Raw genomic sequence first — 21135 nt, 5'->3', positions numbered from 1 at the left:
CCATGATTATTTTTCCACAGGCTGGTACAGAGGATTTGCCTTAAAAAACCCAAATATCAAGGTAAAAATTGTTATTTCTAACTATAATTATGAAATTTATTAAGAAAGATAGTTATTTAAATTATTTCTTTATACAATTGAAATTACAGTTGGGACTCAGTTGAAATGCCAAATGATATTGCAAATTTTTATAATTTTGGAAATTCCTTTGAACTTGGATTATAGTTAAGATATGCTACTCAAATGATAATCCTATTTAGCTCTTGAAAATTGTACTGAGAAGACCTTAATAAGCTCATTATATATAAACAAAATCTTTTTGAAGTGGTAGTTTCTCAGAGAGCTAAATTAAAATTCAGGCAGGGGAAATACATATGCCAAAAGAAATATTAAATAGCAGTATTTAATCTTTATGTTTTCCATGGTATCATTTGTAAAATATCGGTATGGAGAAACAAGTATACTTAGCGGCATGTTAAGAGTCCCTTTGGATTTGGGGGGCTGAAGCCAGGAAAACAATATTATTAAAAAACCCATCTTTCTTACCATTTCAGGCAGAAATTAAGATTCATTATCCTTGATACATTTCTATAAATCCTCAGGAATTAGAGCAAGAAGTAATGTCATTTTTGTTTTATCTTTTATTTGTATAGTTTGCAATTTTGACAGTAATCCTTACTAATATCTGTGTTTTTCTATCTTACTCTAATCTCCTCAGTCTTCACCTGTATTTCCTACATTCTCTAATATTTTCATATATGTCATTTTTTTTTTTGGTTTAATTCTAGCTTTGGGATTGTAGATAAGAAATTTGTATTTTCATTCTCAAAATACACTTTTGCCTTTTTCCTTAAATATGCCATTTTCTGGATCATTCAACTGTGTTTAATTACTTCATGTATTTTAGGTCATCCTAAAGGGGAACGGTAAGGGACAAAAGAGTATATAAATTTAATTTTTTAAATACTTTACTCCTCATTTAACATTGTTTTTATATATCTATGAGGCACATGCAAATATAGCTTCAGTATTTAATGAATTCATTTAGACCATATTTGAGAAGGAAACTTAGTATGATTTCTCTGTTATTTCTGTCACTTCTAATAAACCTCAAGTCTGACTTTTCCTGATTAGTTAGAATTACTCTATTTGTTGATCCTACCATATTGAAGAAAACAAGTGCGTTTTAAAAATCTACATATATATATTTACTACTATTGAATGGAAAGAATTTGCCTATTAAATTTTATTTTATACTTGGATCCACAATGGTGATATATATATTCAAATGACATTTATTTTCTTAAATATTTAATTGAGTTTGTCATTTAATTATACATTAGAAATTCTTCAGAGGATAATTGCCATTTAATGAACAATCAAATTGATGCTCATTTTTTTGTTGTTGTTTCTTTCAATTTCCCATTTAGAACAAAGAAACAATTTCCTTGCCTTGTCATTTCCTACAATAAAAAGCTTCAAGCTAACATGGCTTCTTTTGTTTGATTTCTGTTCCATCAGAATGGCAGCATGGTGATTAACTGTTGCTGAGTTGTCATCAAAAATCTTCCATAACACAGAATACACATATTATCTCTAAATTTGCAGTGATATTTTTTGTATGTATATTTTCAAGAGAAATATGAATGTTTTGGGGAGAAAAAAAGGAACTACCATCAAAACGAAGAACCTTTCAAAACTATGCAATACATATTTTGTAAACTCTTATTCAGTATAACATGGTTTTTATATAGAATTCCTGAAATTTTCTTATTTTCTGTTTAATAAACATTATGTTTTCTGAGTAAGATTTAATTTTTTTGATCATATTTGTTTAGAATGTCTCTAAATTTTTAAAGTAGTTAATGGTAGAAAATGAAAGGATGGATCTTAAGCCACAGTAGATTTCATCCAAGAGAATGTGGTAGAGATGTTGCTTTTCCCTATTCCTGATGTTGTCATGGTTGTATGGCTGTGTTTTATACAAATGACTTGTGAAACCAACCCTGCCTTAACAGCCGGCATCGTAACCTTCATGTTTTCTTTTCCAGGGTATATTTCCTTCCAGCTACGTTCACTTGAAAAATGCCTGTGTAAAGAACAAAGGGTAAGAAATGAGTTTTATTAGTAGTTGGAGGATTTTCACAGAGCCTTTGCTTCTTTTGGAATTTGAAAGGCATAGTAATTGTCTTGAAAAATGAACTGTAGAAGATCATACCATTGTCTGTGTTCTTTGTTAAAGATATATTGCATTAAGACCGTTGGTGGAGAAAATTAAAGAACCCCATCTGTGTGTGCTGGACAAGAGGATCTGAGAGACTGGAGGTCTCTCAGTGTCCACAAATCAGGGAATCAGCCTATGCTTGAGCAGAAGGAGTTGGTTCTTTTTGGTTTCTTGCTACTTAGGGAAGCATGTCAGTCAGACCCATTAAATGCTGTCATATTATCTCAAACCCCAGGAATTTCCTAGGTTCACCACTGATTCTAAGATGCATAGTGTGTCTTTCTCTAAATGGGCATAATAACATATTCTTGTGTGACCACTTCACAAAGCCATTATTCTATTTTAGAGAATGTCATTTATATGATACTTTGTTTGATTGAGCTCATTGATCACCTAGTATTTCTAATACATTAAAAAAATTTCTAGTCTTATTTCCAAAAGGATTTGAAGTGGCAGTCACTTTAACATAATTCCAATAAGGTACAGCAGGATAAAACAGAAGAACTTGCCTGTGTAAATAGTTAGCATAAGCAGATCATTCATCATAAGGGGCCATGGATTTAGACACAAACATTTGGTGTCAGTGTCACAAGGACTATTCACATGATCATTGCATAATTTTCATCTTAGGACAACAGAATACAGATTCAGCCATAGAAATTATATTTTTTCTCAAATAGTGATAAATAGCAATTTATTATTTGAATTCTTAAAGCATAGTAATGGCATTTTCCAACTTGAGTCTTAAGATAAAAGTTCCAACGAGGCTATTCAAATAATTTCCTCCTCAATAAAGATATGATATTAAATTTCAGTTCAGGGAAACAGCCTATGCATGTGGCTAAGAGTCTATGGTATAAATACTTTGAGAGTTCCCTATATGGGTAAAACTTAAAGAATCTCAGAGACCATTACTCTACATGTCTTATATATGTGAGCTGCTTTAAGCATGTTAGTAGTAGCACTCAGTAATAGTAATTATTGAATAATAGATTAAAAGCATAATTCTAATTCTAATAATTACCACTACTACTACTGATCTTTTAAGAAATGTGTGTCCTTTGGAAGTGTGCAGCTATAATCCACCAGAAGCATCAAGCCAAGTTGTTGGTCCTTTTGAAACTTTCCTACCCAGCTAGATGTGATACCATTCAGCCTCCCTCCAGTAAACCAGAGGATACTTCAGAATACACTCCAGCCATATGCTTACTCTTTGTTCTGATCCTTCTGTGCTAGTGATCTGGGCTTGGCAATGTGAAAACACCATGGGCTACCCCTGTTTCTTAAAGTGTCCTTTTGAGCAAGCCTGTGCAACCAGTCCTCTTTGCTGCCTTTGTCCCAAGCCCAACCCTGACCTCCCTCAACTCTGCAGTGCAAAGGGCATCATATGCTCTGACCAAGGAAGAGAAAAGAGAGAATGCTGTGCTAGCAAAGATGATGTCAAGCATCTCTCCACTTAATCAAAGTCTATCCCTCAAAGTGAGTTGGGGTAGGATATGGTTTTTAAATAAGTACGTCCTTTTTTTAAATCCTGGTTAGTAACTGGTGTATATCTGATCCCCTTCCATGAGCCCCAGGAAGTTTAAATGTGGGTAAAGTACCTAAAAATTTGGTCATGTAAGTTTAAGACTTTCTTATGGGGTCTCCACCTGACACTAGGTATGATGGACATTGTGCAGCAGAAGAACAGAAAAGCCCAACATTAGTTTCTGTAAAAGACTTATTGGAATTGACTCAGACCCTAGGTCTAGGGCTGTTACTGGAAGAAAAACTTTGGCCTGAAAACATTTGAGAGCATGTATTGCCAGGTAATTGCTTTCCCAGAGAGGAACATCTTTGGGGTTTTGGTATTACCTGTCTTATTTTAAGTGGATTTATGGCCCACTAGGATGAAATAATGGAAAAGTCCATCCTAGAATAATTGAACAAAATATAATTTCAGAGGTAACTACTTACGACAGACTATTTGAACACTGATTTTGGGTTTGGAATAATTAATAGAAAACAGTCACCTTGCCTAAAATGGCAATTTTATGCTTAAAAATTTAAATTTTGCTTGGACAACCCCCAATCAACTTCTCACAGACTGAATTGCGTGTATGTTCTTTCTTGTGTCTTCAGATCAATGTAGGACTGTTGGAGGTCAATTAAATTATAGTTTATGGACAGGGAGGCCACTTCTGTATTGTTTAATTCCTACTGAGGTCATGTCACTTTTTAAATGTTAAGTAGTATGTCAGGTTTCCCTGGAAATTCAGTGTTTCCTCCTTGACCTTGTATAGGATCATTTTATAATCTCCATCTCCAAATATTCATCATTTAAATTGCAAACGCTGCTTCAAAAGCAAAATAAATGTACCACCATTTAAAAATGTCATATACAGACTTAATAAAAGGTTCTGTGTCTGTCACAGTTTATATATTACTGTTTACTTTTATTTCTAGTTTAAAATCCCAGTTTTACATTTTCAGCTGTGTTTAAGCTCTAGAAAGAAGGAAAATATTCATAGGGCAAGTATTTTAGCAGCACTGCGAAATGAGGAGATGAAACTCTGTTGGGAAAAAAATCAAGGCAAGATTTTAGTTTCCATATGTCTGACAAGAAGATTTTACAAAAGACAATTATATACACTTTGGACATAACATGAAAAAGGAATCACAGAACAGTTATTAGTCTCATGCTAAGAAGTAATTTCCCCTTGATCATTAGACAACATGGTTCTGTGTCTAATATGTCATTACTTTCTATGTATTAGACGTTTTCTTGAGAAAAATATACTGAAATAAAGAAAATAGTCTCAATCAATATATCAGTAGCATTCTTTGGGAAGCAGTGGTAGTAATAGCCACTAAACCACTTTCACCTGCACATACACACACACACACACACACACACACACACACACACACACACACAAAGAAAGAATTTGAAAAAAGAAACTGGAGATGAAGATTATTATATGCCAAAGGTAGGATACAGAGGACAAATTAAATCTTCTCAGCCAGGCGCGGTGGCTCACACTGGTAATCCCAGCACTTTGGGAGGCTGAGGCAGGCAGATCACAAGGTCAGGATATTGAGACCATCCTGGCTAACACGGTAAAACCCTGTCTCTACTAAAAATACAAAAAATTAGCCGGGCGTGGTTGCAGGCACCTGTAGTCCCAGCTACTCGGGAGGCCAAGGCAGGAGAATGGCATGAACCTGGGAGGTGGAGCTTGCAGTGAGCCGAGATCGCGCCACTGCACTCCAGCCTGGGCGACAGAGCAAGACTCTGTTCTCAAAAAAAAAAAACACAAAACTTCTCTTTTATTTCCCCCATCTCCTCATGCATATTCTCAACTTCAGGACCACCATACACACCCTACTAGATATTGATATAAATATTTTCCAAGGATAGTTTCTGACTTTTAGAGAAGAAATGAGAAGACTACGTTACTCTAATCAGAAAGAGGAACATTTTGGAACGAATATTCAAATATCGGTGATGTCATAAGCCATAAGTTCTATGCTGTATGATAACATTACTTAGAATACTAATCATTTCTCATGGTCCTAGTTTGCAAATAATAAAAATTAAGTGTTACCGAGATCAAGAGAGTGTTCAATTAGTATCTCAGTGTCTAGTTACTTATAACACTGAGTTAGTTTGGATGCCCACAGCCATCATGTCCTGGTGATTGAATGGTGTTCCTTTTACTCTCTTTGAGTCCTATAGTCATAGCCCTTGGAAGGCAAAAGTCACCTCAGAGTTTATGTAGCCCAGTGACCTCATGTTACAGATGAAGGCTTTTGGCCTTAGGTTAAATGAGTTGCTGCCTAGTCGTGAACTGGTACTGGAGTGCAACCCTTCTGATGCTGTTCCTTCTTCACCACGCTGCTCAAACTTGATCTGGTTGAAGTGGCTGGTTGTTCTGGTATTGTCCTACCACAACCCATGTAGCATTCCTCACATTAACTTATAACCAGATCCTGGTTACTGTCTGTAGAACGAACAATAGCTAGGCAGCTTTCTTTTCTAGTTATCTTTTAGAGTATTTAAAACAAAATTGTTGTCTATGGTATTTACATATATACTTTTTCTTTTTTAATTTCACAGACAATTTGAAATGGTTATTCCCACTGAAGACTCTGTTATCACAGAAATGACATCAACATTAAGAGACTGGGGAACCATGTGGAAACAACTCTATGTGGTTAAGTAGCTTTTTAATGACACGATTTTTCGGGTAAAGAATTGTTTTAAGAAATACATGAACATGAGTAAGCATTAACTAATATAGCACCTTCTGCAAGTCTCCAGGACTCCTTGGGGATATAGATATTAACAAGACAGTCTTGTTACAATCTCTGTGTCCACTGAGCATGGGTTTTGTAAGTTATTTTTCAATACCACAGGAATATAAAAGATTATTTTTCTGGCATCTAACCAAATAGGATGGTTTACATGGACCTATTGTTGAACCTCCTGAATATTTTTAATTTCCAGGGAAAAATAAAATTCAAGACAATTTTGGTGGCTTTGGTATTTTATCAAATTCAAATTCTGTAAGTAATTCAAGTATACTGTAAATGACAGACTTCTTAGCTAGTATCAATGAGAATATTCTAAATATACTAGAGAAAAGAATGTTTCTTGAGGGGAAAAAGGATCTGTGTTTTGCAGATACGTAGTATATATTTATTTACTTACTATAAGTAATCACATTGGGAACTTATGTGGCAAATCCCATGGTAAGTACTCTTTGATGCAGTATCTTCTTTAATCCTTATTACTACTCAAAGAAATAATAATGATGATCACATCCAGCTTACAGATGAGAAAAATAAGGCACAGAGAGTGAAGTACTCACCCCACATCAAGTAATGGGAAAATGGCTGAGCTGGGGTTCTGGTATGAATATGGTGCTGTCACTCTGAACCCCACTGTAACTGTGGAAGTCTGGGGGTGGTGAAATATTAGGGAAGACCCCATGCTATTTCTTCTTTTATTTTTAAAGAAATTTGTAGAACAGCTTAATCATTTGAAGGGATTAATTCAAAATACAAACGTGTGCTTATCCTGACAAAACGATTTAAAACAGCCTGTCGAGGAAAAAATCCAAATTAGTGAGGGACACTGGCAGAATGATAGTGTTTATTGTCTGTTACATCTGAAATGCAATAGGATATTTCACTGAGGCAAGAAAATCTGACAAAGTCACTAGTGAAAACCCTTTGATGTTGGACTTCTCTGATTAAACCCTCCTGTAGCTGGTAGCTTTAGAACTCACTATGAAAATCCACAAGAAACCTTAGGTGAATTGGCGGAGCATAGGTTTTGTAAATAACAAAGTCAAGATAACCGACCTCGAGGGCTCTGTGCTAGGGAAGTGCAAAGAAATGCAGATCTCCTTTTTAAATTTTCTTTTTTTTTTGTAAATGTTGGAAAGAATTCAAAATCCAAGTATTATTTCACTTAAAGTAACATTGGGCATGGCACTAACATGGAAAAAGAAACTATTTGAAATGCTCAAACCACTGCATTCCAAATACCCGATATAAGAGTTATAAAAATAATGACAGTGTGAGTGTTGTCCATTAGCTGAACTAGAACACAAACACTTTTCCTTTTATATAGCTACTAGTGGGGAACAAAGTTGAATTTCCTCTGGATTCTGCCTTATCTAGCTATTTTTACCTGTGTTCGAGGTTTCAAATGTCTGTTTTGGGGACAGACTTTGTTGGTTTGAAAATCTGTGTGTTGTAAACTCTATAAGTAAACTCCTTTCCTCCTAGTGTTCTGAGTAACTGGGAAAGAGAAAATTATCTAAATGTTTCCCTGGACACTGGAATGGTAGTCAGTGCCATTAGAAACAAATATTAAGTTTAACTCAGAGGTATTAGATTTTTGATACTAGGAGTGAAGCTACCTTGGCCATGTCAGACCTTTGGTTTCTCTTTTCCTAATGTAAATGTTTTGTGCCAAATGTTTTGGTTCAAGTTCCTCATGCTCAAGTGTGTTTAGGTTATTGTCCATCGTCTTTTCCAACAGTTTTAAGGCACCTAGCTTCTCTACTGGAAGATGTTTGATGGGGGCCATAATATTTTATAAATTGTTAGCAATTTATATGACAATGCTTAGCATAAAAGCACATGGTGAATGCTTGAAAAGTGCTAGTTGCTCTTTAAATAACGTTGCCAAGGACCTAAATAATGGTCTCTAAAAATACCACTTAATAATCAGTAATGTAACCACAAAAAGTTTAGGAGAAATATAGCAGCCATCTTTTACTGAGTACTTTTGTCCTGTCCCTGAGCTGGACATTTTACATCTCTTTTTCCTGGGGCTCTGCCAGGCACTTTTTTTTTTTTTTTTTTTTTTTTTTTGGAGACAGAGTCTCTCTCTGTTGCCCAGGCTGGAGTGCAGTGGCGCAATCTTGGCTCACTGCAAGCTCCGCCTTCTGGGTTCACGCCATTCTCCTGCCTCAGCCTCCCGAGTAGCTGGGACTACAGCTACCACCATCACGCCTGGCTAATTTTTTTGTATTTTTAGTAGAGACGGGGTTTCACTGTGTTAGCCAGGATGGTCTCGATCTCCTGACCTCATGATCCGCCCACTTCGGCCTCCCAAAGTGCTGGGATTACAGGCATGAGCCACCTCGCCCAGCGCCAGGCACTTTTTATTCTTGAATCTTATCAATGATAATTTACCTAGGGTCTCATGCTGAAGCCTGAATCTAAATCTAAGTCTGCTGCTGCCAAAACCTGTACTGTTTTCATTTTAAGGCAAATAAAAGCTCATCGCTTTCTAAAACACTAAAATACTCTCAATTAACTTTTGCTGTTTTTTTATGTTTCCAGAATCTCTTGATATTGTTTTATTCCAAGTGTTTAATATTGTACCCTAACTGTTTTCATTTAGCATTAAATCAAAAGCATTTTTCATATATCTGAATAGCCTTCATAACTATCCAGTGTTTAAAGAATCATGATTTTATGACCAGATGTTCAGTTTTAGAACTTTTTCTTACACTAGTAGAGTAGGTTTGCTGGCCAGGCCTGCAGTATGTCAGCATTCTTGCCACACCTGGGTTTTCTTCCCTTAATGGAGAGCTGACCAACTGATTTTCAGCTTTATAAGGGATCCTGCAACCTTTTCTTATTAGTGTTCTCTTAAACTTAAGTACTAGAGATGACATCACAGAAAATCAAGTCCATCCTACTAAACAACTACAGAACGCCTTTCCCAAGAGCAGGCAGGTGACTTTCTCCCTGTGACAATCAGTTCAAAAAGGCGCTGTGTCTCTTCTTTGCTACATGAGATTTGACTTGTTTAATAACTTGCTTATATAATTTTATTGACTTGGGTGGACTTTTCCTTCCTACACTGACTTCCTCAAGTGTTTGTATCGCCTGTACAGAATCTACCTCTTGAGATCCACAAAAATTAACATGTGTAAATCAAGCTATTCATTCATGCATTCTCCGGCTGTTAGGGATACACAGGCAGACAGCCATGTGATTGGGCACTTACAGCCACAGGGAGGACATGGACATTGAGCAGTTAATTACAAGAGTATTGTGTTACAGTGGCCTTGTAATGGCTTGTATGGGAGTGTATAACATGAGTTAAGAGTGAGAAGCAATAGAAGAATGGGCTCAATAGAGTGCCTTCGGAGTTGAGAGAGAAGCAAGATGATTTATATTGAGGAGGATCAGGGATGGCATCCTGGAGAATGCTTTTTGTTCCTCTGGCAAATTTGTCTGACCTGCACATCATGTGAAAAATTCAAGACACCAAGTACCGAAAAAGCAGATAACACGTCACTACTTTTTAAAATAAAAAATACGTGATGACAGAATGTCTTTACCCATCACCCAGAATTTGATATTTCTGGCAGCTTACAGCTGTAGAAGACTTTAGATGGATGATAACCTCAGTACTTTCATATCACTACTCATGAGGTCCACTCATAATTTTTGTAGAAAGTAAAAGCATAGCTGCTGGTTAAGAAAGACAAAGGGTAAAGACTTAGATAAGATTTACTCTATTGTCTCTGGGGTAAGGGATATATATTTTGGTTTTGGGGAAGAAACAGTATTTGTAGAGGGCTCATTCTGGACCAAGCCCAAAGCAATAACAGTACTCTAGTACTAATAACAGCTAATACTTACATATTTTTTCTGGGCCAGGCATCATTCTCAGAGTTTTAATAACTCATTAATCCTCACAACAACCCTGAGAAGTAGGTACTATAATACCCGTTTTACAGATGAAAAAAACAAGCACAAAAATGTTAATGAATTGTCAAAGCTTTTTCAGCCAGTAAATGGCAAAACTGAAATTCAGATTGAAGTTGTTTGGCTCTAAATAAGTTGGTATTCTCTGCCACTGTGCTGTAGTGCTCTCTGCACAGTTGCTACCACTAATCCATAAAACAGCCTTGCAGAAAGAATGTGCTGCCCATGTACAGATGACAAAATTGGTACTTAAAGTCTGTACCACTAGTAAGTGACAAAACCAGGATTTTAACTTGTCTTCTTTCCAGTAAACCACAGAGCTTAAATGAATTCCACAGGAGATTATCTTGAATCTCCATGATTGTTTTAAAAGTAAGGAAGAAAGCATTACCTTTTTAAAAGTCTAAATACTGGCCCGATAATAGCAGTGCATATCCATCAATGAATGAATTTTGTGCCCAACTTCTGATAGGGGATCCAATAAAGTATTGAGACCAATGTGCAAGAAATATAATTGGAAAGCAATGTCTTCCATTTCATCAGCTTTAGTTGCATGCAGCCATGGCACAGAGAAGGGAGAAAAGAATGTGAGCAAAAGTGATCAGGGAAGATTTCCTGATGGAGGTGGAAGTCAAGCCGAGTCTTCTTGGATAGTAGCATTTGAGTAGTGTTTAAAAAATAAATAAATAAAAGGAGCACGTGAGAAGTAAAGTTGCATTTCTGGACATGAGAGCAGTGTTGTGAAACTTAGATGAAGCATATAGAGAAGGCAGCGAGTGTGTTTGAGGATAGTGAGCGAACAGTTTGTCTGTTCACGGACATCTGTCCAGAGTGGCAAGCACATAGTGGGTAACCAGAATGGGCCTCTTCCCTTTCCTTTTTGGTTACCCCACAACTCAGTATAGGTACTGACTGCCAAATCTCCACATTTGTATATTTCTTAGCGTAATGAAGGCGATCTCTTCCACCGGCTGTGGCACATCATGAATGAAATCCTGGACCTGAGGCGGCAGGTGCTGGTGGGCCACCTCACCCACGACCGGATGAAGGACGTGAAGCGCCACATTACTGCCCGGCTTGACTGGGGCAATGAGTGAGTATTGAGCATCACAGGGCGGCCTCTAGTAGGTGAACACAATGGAAGTGACATAGGCCTGAGCCAGAACGTGGTAATGTCACTGGAAGCAATCCTATGGGCTTTTTCATGTTTCCTGTTTTTGGAGGCTTAGTGCGAACTGGCATTGATAGAGCCGAGAACCATTTCTTCTCAAGCTGGTGTAGGCACTGAAATGTCGTTTGTTGTCTAGTATCGTATGTGGCTTGATGGTGTGGACATGCTCATGGAAAATGAAATGTTCACAGCAATGAACTAGATGTGGCGTCTGACTAAAATGGATCTTGTTCTCAAATAGGCTTTAGGTTTGGCATGTGGATTTGCTTTTAAAATATATCTTTTCCATGTCATGGTAATAGGTCACCAGTGTAATCCGGAGGGAGACACTAATGTTAACAGCTTCTGTGAAAAGTCTTATGACAGGTGCACTGGTGGGGCCTTTTATTATTGCTGTGATTAGTCCTGTACATACACATTAGCTACTTTGAGGAGCTGCTTGAGAGAACTCAGTAAAAAGCTGTTCTTGACCGAGATTTATTTTTAAACAAAACCATAAGTGACTAATTTAAAATACCAGCCAGGTACTAAAATGGTAAATCTAATCACTGAAAGCTCTGACCGAGGCTGATATTTTACTAAACGTGAATATTAACATAGAAGTGAGAAATTAGAATAAGCCACCTTTGACTGAGACCCTAGGGTTGCGTGAGGTTTAGGTTTAAAGCAGTGACATGGTTCCTTAATAACCCACATGGCCCTATCCTCCCTTCCTTTCCTTTCTCCAAATCCCCATTTGCTATTTGGACCTTCAGAGGATCTTAGGGCAACAGAAAAAAAAGGAAAGCAGACAGAAATGAAGAAAATGACAGGAAGTGAACCATGGGTAAATTTGCCTCTTACTGAATGTGGAAAAACCAATTTGAAGCAGAATGCCACTTCCCATTACCATAGGAAATCACTTTGTCAGAAGCCAGGTTTGATTCTTCCCAAGATGTTGCACACTCTGAATGTGAATACCCAGACCTACTAACAGATTTTTAAACCTCCATCTCACTCAGAGGACTTCCGGTATTTTGTTGAATAGGATGTGCCATTCATCTTTTTACAGACAATGAATAGAAGAGCCCAATTCATTTATCTCTAGAAGATTCATTCCTGTGAGAAATAAAACAGGTACAAATGTGGAGGGGCAGCAAGAGCACAGGACTGGGAGCTCTGCTTTCTTAGGACCTGAAGCAAATTCCTTAACCCTCTTCATGTCAGTTCCTCATCTGTTGAAGGAGGAAGTTGAACTAGAAAAAGCACAAGGGCGCTTTCAGCTCCAGGATGACATTTAAAACACACAGCACCTCCTAACAGATTAGACTTGCCAGCCATTTACAGGGAACTTCCTATCCTGCCGTGGGAATGAATTTCACAGGAGATTATCTCGAATCTCCATTATTGTGGAGTGGGAGGGGTCCGTTGGAGCGAAACCTATGCTGCCTAATATTTATTTCTTTATTGTTTTGAAAAACCTTTGAGGACTCTGAATTATTTTGGGTCTTAGTCATTATGCTGGTCCTCATTTAAAGGACTAGTTTGTAAATAGGAAGAAAGTTGGAGGAAGTTAGCTTATCCAAAATAACACAGGAATGTAGATCAGGCAAGAAAATGATACTTCTTCAGTTTTATGAAAGAAAATGATGGCAGAATGAAAAGGGGAAGGAAGGAAAAACATTAATTATGACTGAATCATGACTCAGTTTTTGACTTACGTAAGTTCTGGCTTGTACTTTGGGCAGTTCTGTGGCTAATTTATGATAAGTTGGTAAAACATTGATGCATGAAAATGAGCAGTATAATTTATTTAGATCATCTTCAACTTCATGAATTTTCTGAGCTATGATTCCGTTTTCTTTGAAATTCTTTGACTGTTTATTTTAAAATAACTTACAGTACAGAGATTATGAATTTACCTTATTCCTTTAAGTATACATTTGTTTTCTTATTGAATAGTGCTCATGGAAAGCAAATTAAGATAATCTCTTGCCTATTAAACCAGATGAAATTGTCCTGCAAAATAAGCTGCCAGCACATAAATCTCTGGATGAACATAAATTAAGAATGTGTTCCATCTCACGTTGTATATCAAACTGTTGAAGAGTAGTGAAGAGAAGCCCTCTTGATGTGGGAAGCTTAGGAAGAAGAGATCATTAATCTCATTTCCTAACAGGGCCAGCAAAAGAATTGTTCTTGCCTGGGAACCTCAGACAGCACTAAAATAATGGTACATGTTTCTGTTGCCCATACAGTCCTACAACACGATGTTCTTTGACTTTTCTGCTAATACTATGTGGGAGGAGGCAATCAGTTAATCCTTTCTTCTTGGTGTCACAGAGTAGTTTAGTGACTGAGTTGATAGAAAACATGACGCTCTCCCTGTGTGATCTCCTCTCATCCTCTCTCTTCCCTACTTGCCTCATTTCTCCTTATTCTTTGTAAGGCACTTCCTTGATTCTACTCTGTGGGCTAGGAAACCTCAAACCATGGGAAGATGTACCTAGGAATTAACAAAACCAAATAGAAATAAATAAGACTCTTCACATAACCAGGACGCCAGGAAGCTAACAGAAGCTGAACAATCAAGACTATGGGAGAAAAAGGCTTGTAGATTACAGGTTTCTGAGGCTGCAGAATTTCTGCACTCATTCTGCAGCCATGTAGGTCACCTGTCTTCACGTATCTTATCTTCCTCCTGCATGTGACTGATGTCTGAATTTCCAAGTTCAGATTCTCAAGGAAGGAATCTTATTGACAGCCAATGTCTAATATTCCTGTTTGGGCTGAGCATTTTATACCAGCCTCTCATAAGCTGCTGGCCAGTCTTTGGGTTATTTGTCCTTAGGTCAGGTGCTTACCCATGGTACAATCAGGTGTGGCTCAGGAAGGGGAGATGGTCAGATGACTACCTTGTCTGCCACCACCACTCCCAGCAGAGAAAGTGGATAGAGCAGCTTCTCATAGAAGGAGCTATGAGTAAGACAAGTATCACAGTGGTTATATGCCCTCTTTCATTTGCTAAATGATCTTCATCAGCAATATTGACCCAGTGTCAGATGCTGACTTACACTGTAGTACGGTGGTTCTCTTTCAGAAGGGAATGGAGAATGGAAAACAGACCCTATCAGAATCCCTGGTGAGATGTAGCAAGGGGGAACATGGACATTTTGAAAACAAATCACAGTGTTTATTGTGAGTTAAAAATTCAACTAACATTAAATAATGGGTGTGTGAATTTTTTTCTAGGTTTCCCAAAGAGAAACATCATTTAGGAAAATTGAGAAACTGTTTTACTATCTGAAAGACAGCTCCTACTGTCAAGGAGGTGACAGCTTTCTAATCTTCTTAAGAACAAATAGCCCTCAGGGTGGCTGGGGCAGTGCCTGGCTTGAAGTAGGTGCTGAATTAATAAATTTTACTTATGAAACCTTAATGAGATTTTGGGGGAGGGCATGGAAGAATTTCAGATTTTTTTAAAATACGAAAGTAAGAAAGCTGTGGTTCTATAATTGGAAGTGTGATGCCAGAAGCCTTCTGTGTTAGAAAGAGTGGTGATGTGAAAAGGATTTAGAACAAGTGATCCTCAGAGAACTGAGCATTCGGCCTTGGATGTGGTGGTTGAGGGGGCTCTGCTAGAGAAGAGGGTATCATCTCGGCCTTGATCGATAGGGCATTACACAGGCGTTGTGTAGCCTTTGAGATGATCATGGAGGGTTAAGGAGATGAACAGAACTGTGTGGCATTGGTGTCAGCATTGTACCGTGGGTGCCCTGGAGGGGATCATGCTAGGAAGGTCGCTAGAGGGAAGCTAACCAGAATAGAGTTAGACTCGTGTTCCTCTGTTGATGGGAAGACATCACAAGTCAGTTACCATACTTGATACCTCTGAGGCTGGATATAACCTTAGAATACTTCTCAGCACAGCAAGCCACATGTCAGCCACAATGAAATCTGACATAAAGGGTTAAACTATTCTGCCAGCCCAGGCCCAAAACTCTTCCCCCATTTCCATTTCCTGCCTTTACTGAGTTTCTCCTAACGACTGACCTCAGAATTTGCTGTAAATAAGGACCATGCACAAGTTGCCAGAGATTCATATAAGAAACATGTTGACTCTGGGCACAGCTAGGTATACTGGTGCTAGGTCAAATTCTAAAGACCAAATTTCCTTCCCCTCAACTCCAATTTCTAGAACCAAATGATGTCTAGCTCTAGTTTCCATTCACTCCAGTGTGGAAGGCCTTCTCGTGATAATTTGAAGGGCGCTGAAGGCTCCACACCATGTGGTGCTAAGGCCCCCAGTGGCAGGAGCACTCCACTGAGAGTGCCAACCCATCCCTCCTGGATTTGCTTGTCTTTCTCACCTTCTATGTTTTAAGTTTTGCCCAGTGTCCAGCGGAGTTATATTGTCTACCCCAACTGTGGTAACAAGTCATACAAGGTGAGAGAAGCATGGTGGGTGATATACCTAATTTCCAAGTGATATAGTAAAAAACCAATTGTTTTTAACATATTTCATGGAGGTAACTTTTCCCCCAAACTTTTGCAATTTGTTTTCTAGACAACTGGGACTGGACCTGGTGCCTAGGAAAGAGTACGCAATGGTGGATCCGGAAGACATCAGCATTACTGAGCTCTACCGATTGGTAGGTACAGGAAATCTTGGCTTCCAGTCTTCCTGCTAATTTTCTGGTTTCCATGGCACTCCTCATACTTGCTTGATTTTGTAAGAACAGGATGTTCCAGGATTAATTTAGAGAGAGTAAAAAGACTTGAGAGCTGAGGTGACCATGCCCTCAGTACAGTACTGAGACACTACCTGTCTAAGAATAACATGATACTCTCCAGTGGGCCCTCAACGCCCAGGCACCAGGAAGTCAATACAAAGATGTTTTCAGTTCTTTTGCAAATCTTTCTACTTTTTGTCTAGTGTAGTGAAATGCTTACAAGTCACGCATACTTATCTGTTGTGTTTGAGGACCATGCTGTAACTAATGGGTGTTTCGTCTTGGCTCAGCAGCATGTTAACCCTCCTCCTGCCCCCATTAGCTCTATATACATATAGTGTGTGTGTGTGTGTGTGTGTGTGCGCGCGCGCGCGCGCGCGTGTGTGTGTACATACATAATAGCACTATATACACCAACTACTGAAACGGTCTCCTCCTTAGTCTTCAACTGCTGGACTTACACCCACCCTTCCCAGACCCCAATCCATTCCTAAGTACTGAAGCCCGTGAATCATCCTAAAATATTTGATCATATTGCCCCTCATGGTCTCACTTATGACTTGAGTTTTTTTTCTAGTTACATGGTAAGTTAAAGTCCAGTTTTTTTGCTTGGCATCCAGGTTCCCCAAGTCTGGTCCAATCTGCCTTCTGTTTAGCCTTGTATTCTTAAAATTGTATGAAATGTACCTAATATCTTGATATTAACTAAGTTCTGAAAATCCAAAATCAGAGAAGAGGGTGGTTGGGATGGGCTTTCAAAGACCATCACCCTAAGCATAATTGAACTTTGATCTCATTACTGCTGCTTCTTACCATAAAGTTCCAAGAAGGACTGCCTATTGGAAATAGTAGACTCCTTTTTGGATGATCCTGCCTCTTTTGGCATATCTTTTCAAGCTTATTTTTCTGAGAATAATGAGATATTCTTAACCTGAAGATTATCCATATCTGAAAAATGTGGAGGAAAATTTCAGTAAGTCCACTGGGGATGTATCTGATTTGAGAAGGCAGTTCTTAATATTGCTTCCAGATTTTTCCATGATCATCAAATTGATGTTCAGATTATCTACACTTCATTGTGTCAGTTGGAATCAATTCCATTTTTTAGGGGATATTCTTAATTGTATATTGAATTTCTTCAGAGTGGTGTTGTGTGCTGCTTGCCTTCATGACATCAGTACTAAACAGAGTATCTGGCATGTAGGGAGAACATAGAGGTCAGTTAGTGGGAGGCGAAGAAAGAAAAATAAGAGCATTCCAAGTTAAAGTCATCACTGCCTCTTAGCTTACATAACAAATATAATCCGTATAGTTTGTCTGTCATATCCTCTGATGTGGCATCTTTACTTTTGTTCATTTATTTAACTTATTGAACATCATATTCTTTCACTTTTAAGAACATCTCTCACTTAATTTTTAAGTTCCTTTAGGGAACACACTGTGTATACCTCTATATGTTCAAGATAGTCTTGTACAGTGCTTTTGCACTTAGTAAGCACCCAGTCAATGCTTTGGAGATCATTATGGTATCATGAAAAGACTGGATTATTGGCTCCAAACAACTACATTTATAATCTATCTCTTTCTTTTACCAGTTATTTGGGTCTTGGATTTATTATTTAATCTGTCAAAGCCTCAGTTTATTCATCTACTAAATAGGGAAATAATTATTTTCATGTTTATTATGAAGATTAGATAAGAAATATATGTAAAATGCCTTTCCTTGACAGATAATATTTGCACAACATGTAAGCATTTAGTCAGTTTTCATTCCTTTCTTATCTTTATTCATCTACGTTGGAGAGCCAACAGGGTAAAAATAATTGATGCCTCATATTAGGCTTAGATTTGGCTGTGTCATGAAATAAATAAAAAGCAGAAGATAAAACATGATAGAAATTTATTTCTTAAAGTATGCAAGTTTAGAAACAGGAATTTCTGGGTTTGGTTGTGGTTTTATGGTATGAAAAGATCCTTATCTTTCTGCTACATTGAACATGGCTTCCATCACCAAGAACACCTTTAAGTGCAGTATAGCTGCAAGAGTTCTAGCCATCATATTTGCATTCCAGGCAGTAGGAAGGAGACAGCTTTCTCTCAGTTGATTCAAATACTTTAATGAACCTTCCTGGAAGTTCCGCACAACACTTGCACTTACATCTCATTGGCAGAGCTTAGGCACACCCCTGTATTTAGTTGAGTATGTCAGGTATCAGATAAATAACTGATGTGACACAAATATATTTTATTTTCCTGAGTTTGGTTTTGTGCGTATGTAATTTTGTCTCTGTTCTTTTCATGTAACATTATATATGGGATGGCAAATTGATTTCACCTCTTTCAGCATTCCAGTTTATTGGTGGGTGGCTGCCTAGAGTTCAGTGTTGCTAAGATTCCAGGGTCTCATCTAGGGTCTCATTGATTAGCAATGTTGGCCGTTGGTGGGAAAGACAGCAGGGGATATTTTAGTATGTTACAGCTCAGATCCTAGTCCAAAGTCTTCATTTTACAGATGAAGAAAAGAAAATGTGATTTGACATGAAAACTTATTTTCTCCTCAGTGCTGGTTGCACTTGACTATTTCCAAAACAAAGACTATAGCCCAAAAACAACTCAAATAGTTATAAGCTTCAGAAGAGCATGTGCTTTTCTTTAAGGCAGTTTCTTTTTCTTTTTTACTTTGTTTTTCTCTTCAACTTCTATTTTAAGTTCCGGGGTACATGTGCAGGTTGTGCAGGTTTGTTACATAGGTAAATGTGTGCCATGGTAGTTTGCTGCACAGATCATCCCATCACCCAGGTATTAAGCCCAGCTTCCATAAGGCAGTTTCTTTTTCAAGTTTCTGTTTGTATCCTGGCCTAGCAATAATAAGATTCTCTGTAGCCCTGGTGTTTTTCTCATTCAACATGAAAGTGACTGACTGTTGATTTCACCAGGGAGAGCTGGGAGGCACCATCACCAATCCCTTGTTGTTGTTTGGCAATTTATTGTCACTTTGGGTCAAGGACCTCAGCATGGAGGTTAAATGGCCCAACACAGAGGACATTTGATTAATTGTTGCTGCTTTTCTTTTTTTACTTCTTCCTAGTCAGTGTCATGTTTGAAACACAAGTGTTTGCATCTTACTAAATTCATATTGCATCATTAGAAAAAAAGTCTCACTTTAGTTTCTTGATAGCCCTGTTAGCAGATCTTTCTCACCTAATTGTGTTCATTTAAGCAGTAAAAGTGCTAAACCGCACAGTGTTAGCATATGTCCACTTAGATATTTTGGTTTAGTGCCAAAGGCAAGATTTCAATCCTTCTATAAATAAAGGGAGCCTTATTAGCCAGCTTCTCTCCTATTTGTGCCTGCAGGTTTCTATCTTTTTAGAATTTGTAAGATCATGCATCTGCTTACTCTGCAATTCTTAGAAGGTTAGACTAGCAGATCTCAGAGGGAACACAGTGGTTCTCACATGCAATTTCAACCCAAGGGGATATTTGGCATTGTCTGGAGACATTTTTCGTTGTCACAACAGGAGATGGGAAGGAGAGGTACTATTGGCATCTGGTAGGTAGAGGCTAGGAAAAGCTGCTAGATGTCCTACAAAGCCCAGGACAGCCCCCACAACAAGGAAATATTCAGCCTAGTTGTCAATAGCATTGAGGTTGGTAAACCCTGGTGTAGACAGTTCATTCAATAATTAATGCATTATTTGAAGATTAAAAATTTGAGTCAGTTAAATAAATCTTTGGGATGAATCTCTTTCTTCTCCTAATCAAAGAGCTAGTTCAACTGTTAAGCACAGTTAGAGTAACTGATAGGTGCATTTGTAGCCACAAATTATCTCAAGCCCTTGAAGTGTGAACTTGACTTTTTAATTTGATTGTAATAATACTTTCACAGAAATTTTTTAGCAGTTTGCGGAAGTACTGAATTACCAAGAGAAAAGAAAGTAATCATAACCTACTAAGTCCAAATGGGTCCTAGACCTGAAAGAATAGTGGGGATGGGAAGAGGGGTATTTTCAGTGCCAGAGTGTGCCAGATGTGAAGGCCCATGTTAAATGTGCAAAGGGTAGAGTCAGGCAGGCTTATTACTAGCATGTATTCAAAGAACAAAAGTTCAAGCCCATAATTACTCGAAAGATGCAACAATACATTGTTTAGTTTGCTGTGATTTGCATCTGTCTGCACATGATCCTGATCAGTGATTCTCAACCCTCATTGCCCATTAGAATCACCTGGGGAGCTTTTAAAACTACCAGTCTCTGGACCCCCAGCCCCTAGAAATTCTAATTTAATTGTTCTGAGATAAGACCTGGGCATAAGTATTTTTTAAAAGCTCTCTTGGGGACTCTAAACTGCAGCCAAGGTTGAGAACCACTGATCTAGATATATTGGATTCATTGCATCGGTAAAGGAGCTAATTTTTTCTCCTCAATTCTTGTGAATGTCATGATTGGTGCAGGGAACTTTGCACTATTTGAGGTTAAGAGAGGATATCTCCTTAAGGCCTATTCTTTTCATGAGGTTTTTACATCTATTTCTGTAGCTCTGGCCTTTAGTAGTCATTCGGTTCTTCATAGTAGCTTGTGCTCTGTTACCCTTTTAAGTAAGCATATGTTTTTCTTTTAAGTAAATCAGTAAATAAGTTAGCAGTTCTGGCGGGGTGGAGGGGGGATGGTGAAGCCTTGTTAGTTAGAGGTGTATTTTTATGAACATAATGATGCCACTTTTGCCACAGTAAAAAAAAAAAAAAATTGTTAAAGCACAAAGTAGAGCAACCTTTATAGAAAACAAGGCAAAATCATTCTTTTTTC

The 21135-nt window shown here is 37.9% G+C and overlaps 1 protein-coding gene across 14 annotated transcripts in view; it reads left to right on the top strand.

The window, feature by feature from the left end:
* DOCK4 (dedicator of cytokinesis 4) overlaps positions 1-21135 on the top strand; it is a 480290-nt gene that overhangs the window by 205845 nt on the left and 253310 nt on the right. For all 14 annotated transcript variants that reach the window (XM_047421081.1, NM_014705.4, XM_006716189.3 and 11 more), the window contains exons 3-7: positions 21-61; positions 2052-2107; positions 6324-6420; positions 11392-11540; positions 16165-16249. In XM_047421081.1, the coding sequence (XP_047277037.1) occupies positions 21-61; positions 2052-2107; positions 6324-6420; positions 11392-11540; positions 16165-16249 (428 nt within the window). The remainder of the gene's footprint in view (positions 1-20; positions 62-2051; positions 2108-6323; positions 6421-11391; positions 11541-16164; positions 16250-21135) is intronic.

Source organism: Homo sapiens, chromosome 7, assembly GCF_000001405.40.
Source record: "Homo sapiens chromosome 7, GRCh38.p14 Primary Assembly".
Lineage (NCBI taxonomy): Eukaryota > Metazoa > Chordata > Mammalia > Primates > Hominidae > Homo > Homo sapiens.
The sequence above is the reverse complement of the archived record's forward strand: the minus strand, read 5'-3'. Positions and strand labels throughout refer to the sequence as shown.